This window comes from Homo sapiens, chromosome 10 (assembly GCF_000001405.40).
Source record: "Homo sapiens chromosome 10, GRCh38.p14 Primary Assembly".
Taxonomy (NCBI): domain Eukaryota; kingdom Metazoa; phylum Chordata; class Mammalia; order Primates; family Hominidae; genus Homo; species Homo sapiens.
The window spans coordinates 8,084,987-8,100,021 of NC_000010.11; the positions used below are offsets into that span (position 1 = coordinate 8,084,987).

The 15,035-nt window shown below is 46.3% G+C and overlaps 1 long non-coding RNA gene across 1 annotated transcript, besides 2 other annotated features; it reads left to right on the forward strand.

The window, feature by feature from the left end:
* Positions 144–346: a silencer, noted in NCBI's record as "fragment chr10:8127093-8127295 (GRCh37/hg19 assembly coordinates)". NCBI's record gives its function as "represses an EF-1alpha promoter that drives an FKBP-Casp9 reporter gene in an ReSE screen in K562 erythroleukemia cells {active_cell/tissue: K562}" and the evidence as "EXISTENCE:reporter gene assay evidence [ECO:0000049][PMID:32094911]".
* Positions 1,293–1,794: an enhancer, noted in NCBI's record as "NANOG hESC enhancer chr10:8128242-8128743 (GRCh37/hg19 assembly coordinates)". NCBI's record gives its function as "activates a minimal SCP1, AML or CMV promoter by ChIP-STARR-seq in naive H9 embryonic stem cells {active_cell/tissue: H9 hESC(naive)}" and the evidence as "EXISTENCE:reporter gene assay evidence [ECO:0000049][PMID:30033119]".
* LOC105376395 (uncharacterized) lies at positions 9,243–12,558 on the forward strand. Its single transcript, XR_930636.3, has 3 exons — positions 9,243–9,427; positions 11,091–11,278; positions 12,162–12,558. It is a non-coding gene; the product is annotated as an uncharacterized LOC105376395 (long non-coding RNA).
* Positions 12,559–15,035: the final 2,477 nt, after the last annotated feature.

Sequence of the window (15,035 nt, forward strand, 5' to 3'; positions counted from 1 at the left end):
CAAAGAGGAATATGTATGCAGAGACCTGGAAAATATGAAACCAGTTAAGAACTCAAAGGTCATTTTGTTCAGGGCAAAATTCTTGTGCATGGTGCTGACAGTTTGCCCTCTGGGTGTTTTCAGAGCTTAAAGGATCAAACTTGTCCACATGAAATATGAAATGTCTAATACAGAAACCCCACGTACCCCGTCAGACCAACCTTTTTGCCCTGTAATTACCATGGCTCCAGCTTCACGTTGGATCCCACCCTATCTATTGCTCTTGCATAAGCGTGGCCTGGCTGAACATCTAGAGGACCCTTTAAAGAAGTCTTAGGTAATTAAACAAAACAGAATACTTAACAGTCTATGCAAAGGAGGGGGAGGATTATCCTTCTCCGTATCTGAGATGGGTTCCCAGTGATCCAGTGATAATGCAATTTTGCCACAATGCAGAAATCTCACCAAGGCTTCTGATGTCACTGTCAAAGTGGACTGCTGTGCTAAGAGGGGGATGAACTTGATCTTCCTCTTTCTTGCTTGCTTTTTTTTTTTTTCTGGAGACAGTCTGGAGTGCAGTGGTGTGATCACAGCTCACTGCAGCCTTGACCTTCCAGGCTCAAGCAATCGTCTCCCCTCAGCCTCCTGAGTAGCTGGAACCACAGATGCTCACACTACGCCTGGCTAATTTTTAAGTTCTTTTTATCGAGACAAGGTCTTGCTGTGTTGCCCAGGCTGGTCTCAAACTCCTGGGCTTAAGTGATCTTCCCTCCTCGGCCTCCCAAAGTGCTGGGATTACAGGCATGAGCCTCTGTGCCTGGCTGATCTTCCCTTTTTTACCAAATTGGTTATTTTCCTGCAGGTGGACAGGGTAGTGTAGGCACTTATGTTGTGGAATGGAGACTTTAAGAACCATGAGTTTTGGGCTGGGCGTGGTGGCTCACGCCTGTAATCCCAGCACTTTGGAAGACCGAGGTAGGCGGATCATAAGGTCAAGAGACAGAGACCATCCTGGTAAACATGGTGAAACCACGTCTCTACTAAAAATAGAAAAATTAGCCGGGCGTGGTGGTGCATGGCTGTAGTCCCAGCTACTCGGGAGGCTGAGGCAGAAGAATCGCTTGAACCCAGGAGGTGGAGGTTGCAGTGAGCCGAGATTGTGCCACTGCAATCCAACCTGGCAACAGAGTGAGACTCCGTCTCAAAAAAAAAAAAAAAAAAAAAAAAAAAAAAAAAGAAAAAGAAAAAGAAAAAAAAGAACCATGAGTTTTGCCAAGAGATGGATTGTGAAGAGGCGATAACTCAAGAAGATGAAGTTAGATTTACTTCCATCTTCCAGTTTCTGGCCCCCACATAGTGACAAATTTTGGTATTTGTCACAATGGTATTGGGCCCCTGTTACAGTTTCCTCATTCGGCTGCAGAACCCTGATGCAAATAGGAGCCCGTACCCTGGGCCCTCGTCAACTGATCCTTACCCCTCAGAATAAACCTGAGCTGTTCCAAGTCCTGCTCCACGCTAAGTCTGAGCTGATACATTCTTTTGAGCTAAGGTATTGATGACTCTTAATGGCTTAATGTTATCCTTCTTTGTTGAGCTTTGCATGTAAAAGAAGCCTTTAATGCCTTCAAACTTATAGCAAGCAAGTGAATCCTGTGGGAATTCTGGGCACCAGGGGAGATACAATAGTATTGGGCAGAGATGTCTTTCAACACCTAGCAGAGTGTAATTTGTCGAATAATAATTGTCAGCTGATGTGCAGGGTGACCAGCAAGTCTGGAAACACAGAAGTGATTTTATCACATAAGGAAATTAATATCAGTACAGCATTTCTGCATCCCCTGATGTTTCTAGATGTAGTGGCCACCCTGAATTCTGAGCGTTTACCATGTGCTATCATAAGTGCTCTCACTTAATCTTCCCAACAATCCTACGATGTAAGTATTATTATTTATCATCCCTGTTTTACATATGAGGACAAAGAGGCTTAGGGAAGCTAAGTTGAGTAATTAACTCATCGCTGGACTGCAGCTTTGACCGAAGAGCTGTGTTGCTACCTTTACTTTCTTTCTTTCTTTTTTTTTGAGATGGAGTCTCCCTGTGTCGCCCAGGCCGGAGTGCAGTGGTGCGATCTCAGCTCACTGCAACCTCCAACTCCTGAGTTCAAGTGATTCTCCTGCCTCAGCCTCCCGAGTAGTTGGGATTACAGGTGCCTGCTACCACGCCCAGCTATTTTTTTTGTATTTTTAGTAGAGACGGCGTTTTGCTATGTTGGCCAGACTGGTCTCGAACTCCTGGCCTCAAGTGATCTGCCCGCCTCAGCCTCCCAAAGTGGTAGGATTACAGCCATTGCACCCAACCACTACCTTTACTTTCTACTGAGGGAGGCCATCCCTCCTCAACCTCAAATAGAAACTGAAAAAGGAGCCTGAGGCCCTGTGTCCCCAGGCTTCTGGATTTCCATAGAGTATTTTCCATTGGTCCTTTCTGCTGAGTGGTTGCCTTGCAGTTTCTCCCTTGTAAGGCAGCATGACCATTAAACCCTTCATCCCAAGAGGTTATTTGCCCAACATTGCAAGCAAATCAGCACTGGGTGAAAACTCACAGCCACAGGTGCTCAGGCCTGGGCGTCCTCCTGAGTACCTGGGACTGCAGGCATGCACCACTATGCCCGGCTGACTTTTTGTAGAGACAAGGTCTCGATATGTTGCCCAGGCTGGTCTCTAAGTCCTGGGCTTAAGTGATCTTCCTGCCTTGGCTTCCAAAAGTGCTGGGATTACAGGTGTGAGCCACCGCACCCGCTTGATCTTCCCTCTTTACAAAATTGGTTATTTTCCTATAGGCACTTACGTGTGGGATGATGACTTTAAGAACCATGAGTTTTACCAAGAGATGGATTGTGAAGAGGCAATAACTTGGGGAATGTTCTTGGCAGAAGTAGGTTAAGTTTAGATTTGATCTCTTGTTGGTCATTAATAGGCTTGAGGAGCCTAGCATCATCTCCAATTTGGAAGCTCTGGTTTAAAAAAATCCCCTCCCCGCTGGGCGCAGTGGCTCATGCCTGTAATTCCAGCACTTTGGGAGGCCGAGGCTGGCGGAGCATGAGGTCAAGAGATGGAGACCATCCTGGCCAACATGGTGAAACCCTGTCTCTACTAAAAATACACAAATTAACTGGGCGTGGTGGCATGCACCTGTAGTCCCAGCTCCTTGGGAGGCTGAGGCAGGAGAATCACTTAAACCTGGGAGGTGGAGGTTGCAGTGAGTGGAGATCATGTCACTGCATTCCAGCCTGGCAACAGAGTGAGACACCGTCTAAAAAAAAAAAAAATACCCCTCCCATAGCCAGGTGCAGTGGCTCATGCCTGTAATCCCAGCACTTTGAGATTACCGGCTGAGGCCAGAGGATCACTTGAGCCCAAGAGTTCAAGACCAGCCTGGGCAACATAGAGAGACACCATCTCTACCAAAAAATTAAAAAATTACATGACAATGGTGGTGCATGCCTGGAGTCCCAGCTACTTGGGAGGCTGAGGCAGGAGAATCACTTGAGCCCAGGAGTCTGAGGCTGCAGTGAGCCGTGATGGTGCCACTGTACTCCAGCCTTGGAGACAGAGCAACACTCTGTCTCTTAAAAAAAAATTAAAATAAATTAAAAAAAGAAAATCCCCTTCTAACGCTGAAGGAGGATGTGGTTTCCTATTGGACAGACTGCAGGGAGTGGCCATTTCCTTTCAGACTGCCTGCCTGCCCACACACTTAAGCACATAACGGATTTCAGGCCCCACGTGGAGGCTTGCTACCCTGAATTAGGTCTAGGCTGGTAAAACTCAAACCAAACTAATCACAAAACACTTCGTCCCATAAAAGAACCCTCTTTTTATGACGGAGAAATTAACCAGTGTTGAGCAGTGGAGGGTAGGGAAACTGCCATAAGATATAATTATAACCATAATAATATTAATAGAGGTACACTCTGCATGCCTCTTGCCTTTCGTTCCAGATCTGAGAGTGGCTGACTGGTTAATTAATGTTAGCGAGCATGATTGGCCCTGTTGGAACTGTACATGGATCTAGAAAAAGAAGCAGCAATGTTTTGTTTGTCTGTTTTTCACTGCGAACCCCATCCTACTTTCTCTGTCTTGGGGAGTGGAAGTGGTGGGCTTAGCCTTGCTCACTCCCCCTTTTGGAGGTTGAACAGAATTAATATGCAGACAGAAGTTTTTTTGAAAATTTAAATTTAAATTTAAATTTTTGGCCATGCGCAGTGGCTCATGCCGGTAATCCCAGCACTTTGGGAAGCCGAGGCAGGCGGATCATTTGAGGTCAGGAGTTTGAGACCAGCCTGGTGAATGTGGTGAAGCCTCATCTCTGCTAAAAATAGAAAAATTATTTCTATTCTATAGCGTGTTGGTGGGCACCTGTAATTGCAACTACTCGGGAGGCTGAGGCAGGAGAATCGCTTGAACCTGGGAGGCGGAGGTTGCAGTGAACCGTGGTTGTGCCAGTGCACTCCAGCCTGGCTGACAGAGTGAGAGACTCCATTTCAAAATAAATACATAAATAAAATTTTTTTTACAGGAGAGAACTTGCTCTGGCACCCAGGCGAGAGTGTAGTGGACTGATCCTAGCTCACTGCAGCCTCGAACTTCTGGTCTCAAGAGATCTCCCTGCCTCAGCCTCCTGAGAAGCTGGGACGACAGACACATGCCACCATGCTAAGCTTGTTTTTAATTTTTTTTTTTTTTAGAGATGGGGTCTTGCTGTGATGTTCAGGCTGATCTTGAACTCCTGGCTCAAGTGATCTTCCCACCTCAGCCTTCCAAAATGCTGGGATTACAGGCATGAGCCACTGTGCCCGGCCCCCCATTATATTTCTTAGGGGTTGTGAAGGAGACTTATGAACTCTCTGTGACATCCAAGGTTAGGCGAGGTATTAGGAGTCACTGTCCTGAATTACTCTTGCACCTAGCACACACTGTGAAACCAAACATTCCCGTGTGGCATAAAATAGGTGGCCCCACTCTGTCATTACTATACGTGACATCCTTCAAGGGATGGCAGAACAAACTGAAGCATTTATAGCAAAGCAAAACTAAATGAAGATAAAAACAACTTGCCTTCTGAGAGGTGGCTATTGGACTTCATTAAGCCATTTACTGGACAATGAAAGAATCAGTCATACAAAGGCAATAAACAGGAATGTGAATGCTGCTACCCACCAGGAATTGGCCAATAAAGTCAAATTTCTAATTTAATTTAATTTAATTTAATGTTCCAGGATACATGTGCAGGATGTGCAGGTTTGCTACATAGGTAAACGTGTGCCATGGTGGTTTGCTGCACCTATCAAACCATCACCTAGGTATTAAGCCCTGCATGCATTAGCTATTTTTCCTAATGCTCTCCCTCCCTCAACCCCCTGACAGACCCCAGTGTGTGTCGTTCCCCTCCCTGTGACCATGTGTTCTCATTGTTCAGCTCCCACTTATGAGATCAATAAAGTCAAATTTCTAAGTGTCTGAAATTCCTTTTTAAAAATATAAAAAAATCCCTAGAGTTGGAAGGATGAGTAGGGCAATGCTAGGTACAAGTCATTTTTTTTTTTAATGGCACCTGTCAATGCTATAAAAAGGCAAGAAGGAAAATCATCCTTACGAAGAGAAATGGATGCCCGCCAAGGGCTGGGATTTGATCCTTCAAGTTCTCTTTTCTTCCTCTTGGAATCACTGGGTTTATGAAAGAAAGTGATGAAAATATGCAGAACGTGAGAGATTCACCGTCTTTGTCCTAAGTTTCACTTGTTACACAATACCAGACCAGGGGCTGACTTCCTTCACGCTACAGTTTTCTCCTTTCAAGAAGGTGGAATACGATGGTAATTATAGCTTGTGGGATCTTTGGCGGAGGGAGTATTGATAAGAATATGTTGTCCATGGCGGCCTATTTTGTGACCACCCCCCACAAGAGTTGTTATTCCAGCCTAGGGTGAGGTCAAATTGTTGGACAGTATTTGAAAAATGTCACAATGCAACGTGCTATTCGACTCAACGTCTAAATGTACTCTTGGCATCCAGAGTGGAATATCAGTGGTGTGGACATCAGCCCCATATGAACTCAGGGGATCCTCAGAAAAGGAAAATGTTGGGCCAGGAGTGGTGGTTCATGCCTATAATCCTAGTACTTTGGGAAGGTGAGAGGGGAGGGTTGCTTGAGGCCACGAGTTGGAGAACAGCCTGGGAAACATATAGTGAGACCGTGTCTCTACAGAAAAATTAAAAAAATAGTCAGGCATGGTGGTGTCTGTAGTCCCAGCTACTTGGGAGGTGGAGGTGAGAGGATCGCTTGAATCCAGGAAATCAAGGCTGTAGTGAGTTATGACTATACCAGTGAACTCCAGTCTGGGTGACAGAGCGAGATCCTTCCTTTTAAAAAAAAGAAAAAGAAAAGAAAGTTTATAGCTTAATGTGATCAAGGCGTTGGCCCCCAATAATAGGATCAGGTTAGTCACATGTCGGATGGCTACAAAAGTGAGTATTTACGTCTGGAGAATGTGTACCTGTGTCTTTCTCAATGGATGTGCAAGTGCTTACATGTTTGTGTGTTCACCTTGACATTCCAAATCCAAATTTAAATTAGTTTAGTGCCTGTATTTTTTTCCTTTTTCCATCAGAGCAGATATCTGAAGCTCAATATTGGGTGGGGAAGAGAATATGTGTTTGAGACGGAGTCTTGCTCTGTCACCCAGGCTGGAGTGCAATGGCGCAATCTCAGCTCACTGCAACCTCTGCCTCCCAGGTTCAAGCGATTCTCCTGCCTCAGTCTCCCGAGTAGCTGGGATTACAGGTGCCCACCACCACACCTGGCTAATTTTTGTATTTTTAGTAGAGATGGGGTTTCACCATGTTTGCCAGGCTGGTCTCAAGCTCCTGACCTCGTGATCCGCCCACCTTGGCCTCCCAAAGTGCTGTGACTACAGGCTAGAGCCACCACCCCTGGCCGAGAATAGTTTTTAGGATTTCCCTTTCTTTAAGTAGGAAAAAGGCAGTGAGATCCACTCTGATTCGCTGATGTTTGGATTGGAGGCCAGCTTTGACAAGGTCCCCAAAAGTTCAGGGCCCTGTTCTCCCTTGGTGAGGCAGGTATAGGGGAGTGTGCTGTCTGTTGTGTAGACAGGTTTCTGTTCTGTTTGCTGCTGGCCTCATGCTTTCCATGGAGCTCAGAGAGACTGGGAAGAGCCCTTAGCTCCTTGTTTCAGGGCCAATCAAGCCCTGACCTCTTACCTAGACCAGTCTCCCAAAGCATTCAGGCCAGGGCTGCAGTCAGCCGTCACTCAGATCTCTTGACTCTCTTAAAATATGAAGGTTTTAGAGTCCTGGGCAGGCAGAGGAGGGAAATACTTTCTCTTCTGCACTATCTAGAGATGTGTTTCCATGTGAGTAAGGCAGACTTGTGTGTATGTACAGCAGTGCATGTATGACAGCAGTGCATGTACAAAAATTCAATTACACCCTAAAAAGGAAAAAAAATTCAATAAAAATATAGTGTCCACTGTGCCCAGACATTGTGCTGTACCTTTGGGGGTGAACCTGTGGTATGAAAGATGCATAAAACTTCAATATTGAAGTAGAAATGATTCAGACACATTAAGACAAACAGGTCTGATTGCTTCTCCTGCCTGTTATCTTACTGACTCGTGGCTAGTGCTGATTAACAGCAGTGGCAGATTCTATATGAGTGGCTCTTCATGAAGAGAATTAATGGCTGCATAAACTCAGATATTCTTAAAATTAGGCACCAAGGCTAATTGCCATTTAACTCCCCAAGCTTCCAGAGCTGAAGTGGAGCAAAGGGCCGTGGAGGTCTGGTTGGGAGTGGGGCAGGGGTGGAGGATCACTGAGTCACATGCTTTTAGACTGTAGAAAATATATTTTCTTACCAGTAAAATGGGAGCTGCAATGAGGATTAAATGAGATAACATAGGTACAACATTTAACCTAGTGCATGGCATAGAGTAAATGTTCCATAGATAGTGACTATTATTATTAGAATAGGCCCTGCTGGGTGCAGTGGCTCATGCCTGTAACGCCAGCACTTTGGGAGGCCAAGGTGGGTGGATTGCTTGAGCCCAGGAGTTTGAGACCAGCCTGGGCAATACAGCGAGACCCTGTCTCTCTCTATTAAAAAAAAAATGCCTGACTATCAATATATTTAATACCTTTGAAAATCAGGCCATGCACGGTGGCTCACACTTGTAGTCCCAGCACTTTAGGAGGCCGAGGCAGGAAGATCACTTGAGGTCAGGAGTTTGAGTCCAGCCTGGCCAACATGGAGAAACCCCCGTCTCTACTAAAAATACAAAAAAAAAAAAAAAAAAGAAAAAGTCGGGCGCGGTGGCTCACACCTATAATCCCAGCACTTTGGGAGGCTGAGGCAGGTGGATCACCTGAGGTCTGGAGCTCACAACCAGCCTGGGCAACATGGTGAAACCCCGTCTCTACTAAAAATACAAAAATTAACTACTGGGAGGTTAAGGCAGGAGAATTGCTTGAGCCTGGGACTCTGTCTCAAAATAATCATCATCATAATAATTTAGCTGGGCATGGTGGCATGCACCTGTAATCCCGGCTACTCAACAGGCTGAGGCAGGAGAATCGCTTGAACCTGGGAGGCGGCGGTTGCAGTGAGCCGAGATTGTGCTATTGCACTCCAGCCTGGGCGACAGAGCGAGACTCCGTCTCAAGAAAAAAAACTCAGAAACAAAACAAAACAAAGAATTGGGCCTTTTTTTTGTATTCAATATGGAGACATTAAAGACATTTTAGCAGAGGAGTGATCTAATCACAGCTCCACATTTGACAATGGATATGGGATGGATTAGCGGGCAGAAAGATGGGAAAAGGAGAAACTAGCCCTAGGCCATTGCAGGAGCCCAGGTAAAAGGGGGCATCTAAGAGGGCAACTTGGAGAGATGGGGATGGATGCGAGAGAACTTGCAAAGGAGAATCAGGGGAACCTGGAAATTGACTAGATGAGGTGGACTGAGGTAGAATGAGTCTATGCCAGGTGACGGGGAAGCGACTCCTTTATGCTGCTTTCTCAAACACCCCTGGAGCCTCTTTGAAGGGTATATCAAGTCCCGAGGAGCCAGTGTTTGAGAAGAGATGATAAACTGAGCTTCAGACATCTTGAGTTGCTGATGGGGTATCTTGATCAAGTGGTTCAACAGGCAGAGAGTGGAGTTAGGAAGAGATATGCATGGGGGCGGTCTGCCCAGAATCCCCCTTGCAGTCATGGGAAGGCTGTGAGGTCACAAAGAGAGACCTTGACAGTGGAGAGCATGGATTTATCAATGGGGAATCCCATTGATTTGACAATCACCCTGCATAAGAGGTGGAAGGCAGAGAGCGCTGGAGCTGGACAGGGAGATGAGAAGGCAGTCTGAGAGGTGAGAGCAGCCTCCGGGAAGACCTGTTTCCTGGAAGCCAAGCCAGGAGGCAGCTCAAGGAGGAAAGTGAAATGTTGCAGAAATCAGGGTTAAAGAGATCACTAGCTTTTAGAAGGAGGTGGATATTTTGACTTGGGAAAAGAATTTCAGTGAGATGGTAGTAGTAGGCATCAGACAGTTAGGGGCAAAACACATGTTGGAAGACAGGAAGAAGTCCTGGAGATTTATCCTGGAAATCTTTGTCAGAGAAGAGACTGGGGTATTAAACTGATGGATGAGGCCAGGCACGGTGGCTCATGCCTGTAATCCCAGCACTTTGAGAGGCTGAGGTGGGTGGATCACTTGAGGTCAGGAGTTCAAGACCAGCCTGGCCAACATGGCAAAACCCTGTCTCTACTAAAAATACAAAAATTAGCCAGGTATGGTGGCCCATGCCTGTAGTCCCAGCTACTCGGGAGTCTGAGGCATGAGAATTGCTTGAACCTGGGAGAGGGAGGTTGCAGCGAGTTGCGATTATACCACTGCACTCCAGCCTGGGTGACAGAGCGAGACTCTGTCTACATAAAGTAATAAACTAATAAATTGAGTGGGTGAAAGTGTTGCTCTCAAGTTTTTTAGATTAGAAGTGATGCAATCAAGTTATCAAGCAGAAGAGAAGGAGTGACTGGAGTGAAGACAAGGATAAAAGGTGCCAAACAGGACCAGGCATGGTGGCTTACGCCTGTAATCCCAACACTTGCGGAGGCCAAGGTGGGAGGATCGCTTGAGGCCAGGAGTTTGAGAACAGACTGGGCAGCAGAGTGAGGCCCTTGTCTCTATTAAAAAAAAATAAATAAATAAAAGTGCAAGACTGGTGGAGCCGAATGGCGAAAAATCCTCCAGGAGATGGGAGAGAAAAGGATCAGGAACAAAGGCCCTCTCCCAAGAGAGAGAAAAAGAGAAGGAAAAAAATTCAGAAGTTGGGGTAAGGAGTGGGGTAAACAAGGCAGTGTCTGCACATGGCTGTGGTGTCTCTGGGTGTTTGATGTTAATGATGAACAGGGAAGTTGAGGACGGTCATGGCGGGAAGAGGCCAGGCCATCTACGGGGAGAACAGCAGGGCTGGGCAGGTTGGAGAGTCCAGGGAATTCCCCAGGGAACACAGCAGGGAATCCGCCGGAGATGACTGAAGGATGGTGGAGCCCTTGGGTGGACTTGGGTGAAGTTAGGGGCTTTCTGCAGGTGTACTCTGAAATTTGGGTACCAGGGCACAGAAACTGGATGGAGACTGTGGACAGGCCTGGCATGCTGGGTGGGCTGTCTTGGGGCTGGGGGATTCCTACCTTCAAGAGCAGCAAATGAACGAAACTAGCGGGACAGGCCGGGAGTTCAGAAGAAATAAAAGTGCTTTCCATTTCTTCACTTGAAGTAGGAGCGCGGGCAGCGGAAGCGTTGGGGGGACATCCATGTCCTGGCTGCCTCTCCTGCCCCGAAACCCCCCTTGGGTTCTCCTGCCAGATTCTCATTGCATGACTTTTTTCTCTCGGTGAAAGATGAGAGAGTGACTCTCCCGAGAGACAGGAAAATCTGTCCCATTGTTTGTGCGCCCCTCTGCTCCTCTGCGAGGGATATCTGGCTTCTTTACGGCTCCTCTAAATAGACCATGTTTAATCATCACTGTCAGGCGGTGAGGAGCAGCCGTCGGTGGCCTGGTGGCAGTTTATAGGCCCAGGGCCATATGTCCCAGAGTGACATGCAGGGTTGCAATTCTGCAATGACAAAGAACAGCTGCGGTGACCACAGCGTGAACCACGACTGATGACAATCTGCAGGGATTTTTGCATCAAACCGGCAGTGTGGCTCGCATAATGGGTGAGTGTATTTGGGTTCAGATTTAAAGCTGTGTACAGCGTCGAGGGGTCATGTGAGTTATCCTGAGCAGGTCCACCTGAAGCTTTGGTGGATCCTATAATATTAAAAAAAAAAAAAAAAAAAGCCTGGGTGCGGTGGCTCACGCCTGTAACCCCAGCACTTTGAGAGGCCAAAGCACGTGGATCACCTGAGGTCAGGAGTTCGAGACCAGCCAGGCCAACATGGAGAAACCCTGTCTCTACTAAAAATACAAAAATTGGCCAGGTGAGGTGGCACAAGCCTGTAATCCCACCTACTAGGGGGAGCTGAGGCAGGAGGATTGCTTGAACCTGGAAGGTGAAGGTTGCAGTGAGCCAAGATGGTGCCACTGCACTCCAGTCTGGGCAACAGAGCAAGACTCTGTTCCTGCCCCACCCCTGCCCCCCAAAAAAGGACAGCCTGGCCAATGTAATAAAACCCCTTCTCTACTAAAAATATAAAAATTAGCTGAGTGTGGTGGTGCATGCCTGTAGTGCCAGCTATTTGGGAGGCTAAGGCAGGAGAATCACTTGAACCCAGGAAGTGGAGGCTGCAGTGAGCCAAGCCGCCACTGCACTCCAGCCTGGGCAAGAAAGTGAGACTCTGTCTAAAAAAAAAAATAAATAAAAAGGAGCCGGTGAATGTGGACCAAGAGCATTGTGGTCAAACCTGGGTTGAAGTCCACAAGGTGACCTCTGGGCCTCAGACTCATGGTCTGTAAGATGGGCATGCTAATATGTGCCTTGTAGCATCATTGGGGAGATATATGTGATAGGCCACAAACGGGTGATTATTCTACACACCTCACAGAAGTGATCACGGCATGTAGTCATTGTTGGTTTTTAACATTTCTCTCCCCCACTAGATGATGTCATCCTTGAAGGCAGAAACCATGTGTCCCCAGAAGTATGTTGGCTCTCAATAAGTAGCTGTTGAATAAATGAGTTGCTGGATATTCACAACTCACATTTGCTAAGCGTGGATGTGCCAGGTTCCGTGTGTGTGTTTATGTCATTGAATCTTCGTAACAACTTAATGAGGGATGGGGATAACAACTTATTTACAGATAAATAACAACTTATTTACAGATGGGGATACAGAGGCTTAAAGAAGTTCAATAACCTGCCTCAGTTTGCCCAGCTAGTTAGTGGTTGAGCGACCTCTTATCCACTCTTAGAGGGACTGGGAAAGCCTCCAGCTGAGGATTTGAATCTCAGGGGTGTTCACAGCCACTGTGAACCAAGATAGGGAAGATGTGTGGTGGCGAGCTTTCTTCTAACTCTCTTCAAGTAGCTTCTCCTACTACAGCTGTGCAAAGAGCTAAGGCCACCTGGCCCGTCTTGCAGGCCCGTATTAGGTAAAAAATATTCAGAAGCTGTTTACACACATGAAGATGCATTAGCGACCATGTACAACAGACGGCGACCCCACCAGGGAAGTGTTGACTCGTGGTGGGGCTGGGTGGGTCGCAAGACCTGGAGTGCCTACAATGAGTTTTCTGCACCGAGCCTGCTGCTCTCTTGATTAATGGGACAGTGGAAAATTCCTCCCTTGGTTTATTTTTTTCCCTGAACCGAGAGCTCCATGTAGGAGCTGTGAGTGCCTCAGGGTGATACTTTCCCATTTGTCAGTACCTGGCGTACTCCACCCTCACCTGGACAGATGTCTCACGTTGCAGGAGGGCAAGGTGGGGATCAAGCCAGGCGACAACTCACCAGGCTTGGGCCCCATTGCTCTGCGGGGGGCAGGGGCCCTGAGAATGTGGGGTTGTTATTTTCCAGGTCCCTCTGCTTTAGTCATCTTGCTGCACGGAATGCAAAGCCTCCTGTGGCAGGAACCGAAGCTTAGCACCCTGGGGTTCCCTGATGCTGAAGCAGAAGGTCCTGCCTCTGAACAGAGCCTCGTTGACACCATTCGAGAAAGAAAGAACATTTTCTGCCTTTAAAGAGCTCTCGAAGTCTGTCCCCAGGTTAACAGTGGTTACCTCCATGCTGACTTCTACTTCTTCACAGTTTCCTTTCAGATGTTCTACAATGAGCATATATTGCTTTAGTAATCAGAGAAAGAAAACTCTAGCATGACATTAGCCTTCTGTGTGCTCACCAGATCCCTCTCTTTGGGGAAAACGAAGAAAATGGCTTCCTTTCTCCTCTGTGTGCACCATATCTCACTTCACACCCAGCGCAATTCCTGGTTCTGTAATTTTTCCTTACAGCTCCCACTTAAAACCAACCAACCAACCAACCAACCAACCAACCATGCCAGCAAACAAATCTGATAATCGATCTAAAGTATTTATTGGACTCCTATGATGGGCTTAATCTCTCAAACTCCTGGATTTTTTTTTCCTTTTCTAGACAGGATCTTGCTCTGTTGCCCAGGCTGGAGGGCAGTGGTGCGATCTCAGCTCACTGCAACCTCCGCCTGCCGGGTTCTAGTGATTCTCCTGCCTCGGCCTCCCAAGTAGCTGGGATTACAAGCGCATGCCAGCACACCTGGCTCATTTTTGTATTTTTAGTAGAGACGGGTTTTGTTATGTTGGCCAGGCTGGTCTTGAACTCCTGACCTCAGGTGATCTGCCTACTTCGGCCTCCCAAAGTGCTGGGATTAGAGGCATGAGCCACCATGCCCGGCCTGGATTTTTATTTATTTATTTATTTATGTTTTTTTTTTATGTATGTATGTATTTATTTAGCTTTTTCTTTGTTTTTGAGGCAGTCTCTCTCTCACTCAGGCTGGATTTCAGTGGTGCAATCATGGCTCACTAGAGCCTCAACCTCCCAGGCTCAAGTGATCATCCCACCTTAGCCTCCTGAGTAGTTGAGACTATAGGTGTCTGCCACCATGCCCAGCTAATTAAAATAAATTTTTTTTAGAGACTGGGTCTTCCTGTGTTGCTCAAGCTGGTCTTGAACTCCTGGCCTTAAGTGATCCTCCTGCCTTGGCCTCCCAAAGTGCTGGGATTACAGGTGTGAAACCACCACACCAGGCCCATGGGCTTAATCTCTTAAACAGTTTTTTGACTTCCTTTTAATCTTTTCTGCATATATGTAGAATCTTGCTTCTCCCGTCCTTGCTTTGGAATAATGCTGCTGAGAATTTGGGAATATTTTCCCAATAAAATAAATGATGCCATTTATTTTTCACCAAATGATAGGCTTTCTTGTCTACCACGTTAATAATTATTTTCTTCTTCTAGTGTGGTGACTCAGACGCTAAAATAAAAAAATTAAAAAAATTGTTATTTTCCTCCCATGAAATTCCTCCAAAATCTTAATTTTGGGCATTATGGTTGGGACTTTGCTCTGATAAAGAGACACCTAGAAGACGGGAGAAGTTAGGAAAGAGGTGGATCTATCTGATTTCTCTCCTGGACCTGCTCTTATTCAAATGTTTTCTTCCCACGCTGCTCCCAAAGTGAGGTCCTTTATGGAATCTGAGCTGTGCTTAGAATAATATGGAGATTAGCTTTCAGTACAGATACGCACTTCACTTTAAGTAAAACTTATTTATAAACATCAGGAGGAATGATTTGCTTTGCAAAAAGATGCTTTGCTAATAATAAGAATTCACCTTAGGATACTTTATATAGTCAACTTCCCAGTGCATAGAAATGCTATGCAGCACACCAACATGGCACATGTATACACATGTAATAAACCTGCACGTTGTGCACATGTACCCTAAAACTTAAAGTACGATAAAAAAAGTATAAAAAAAAGAAATGCTATCATTACAA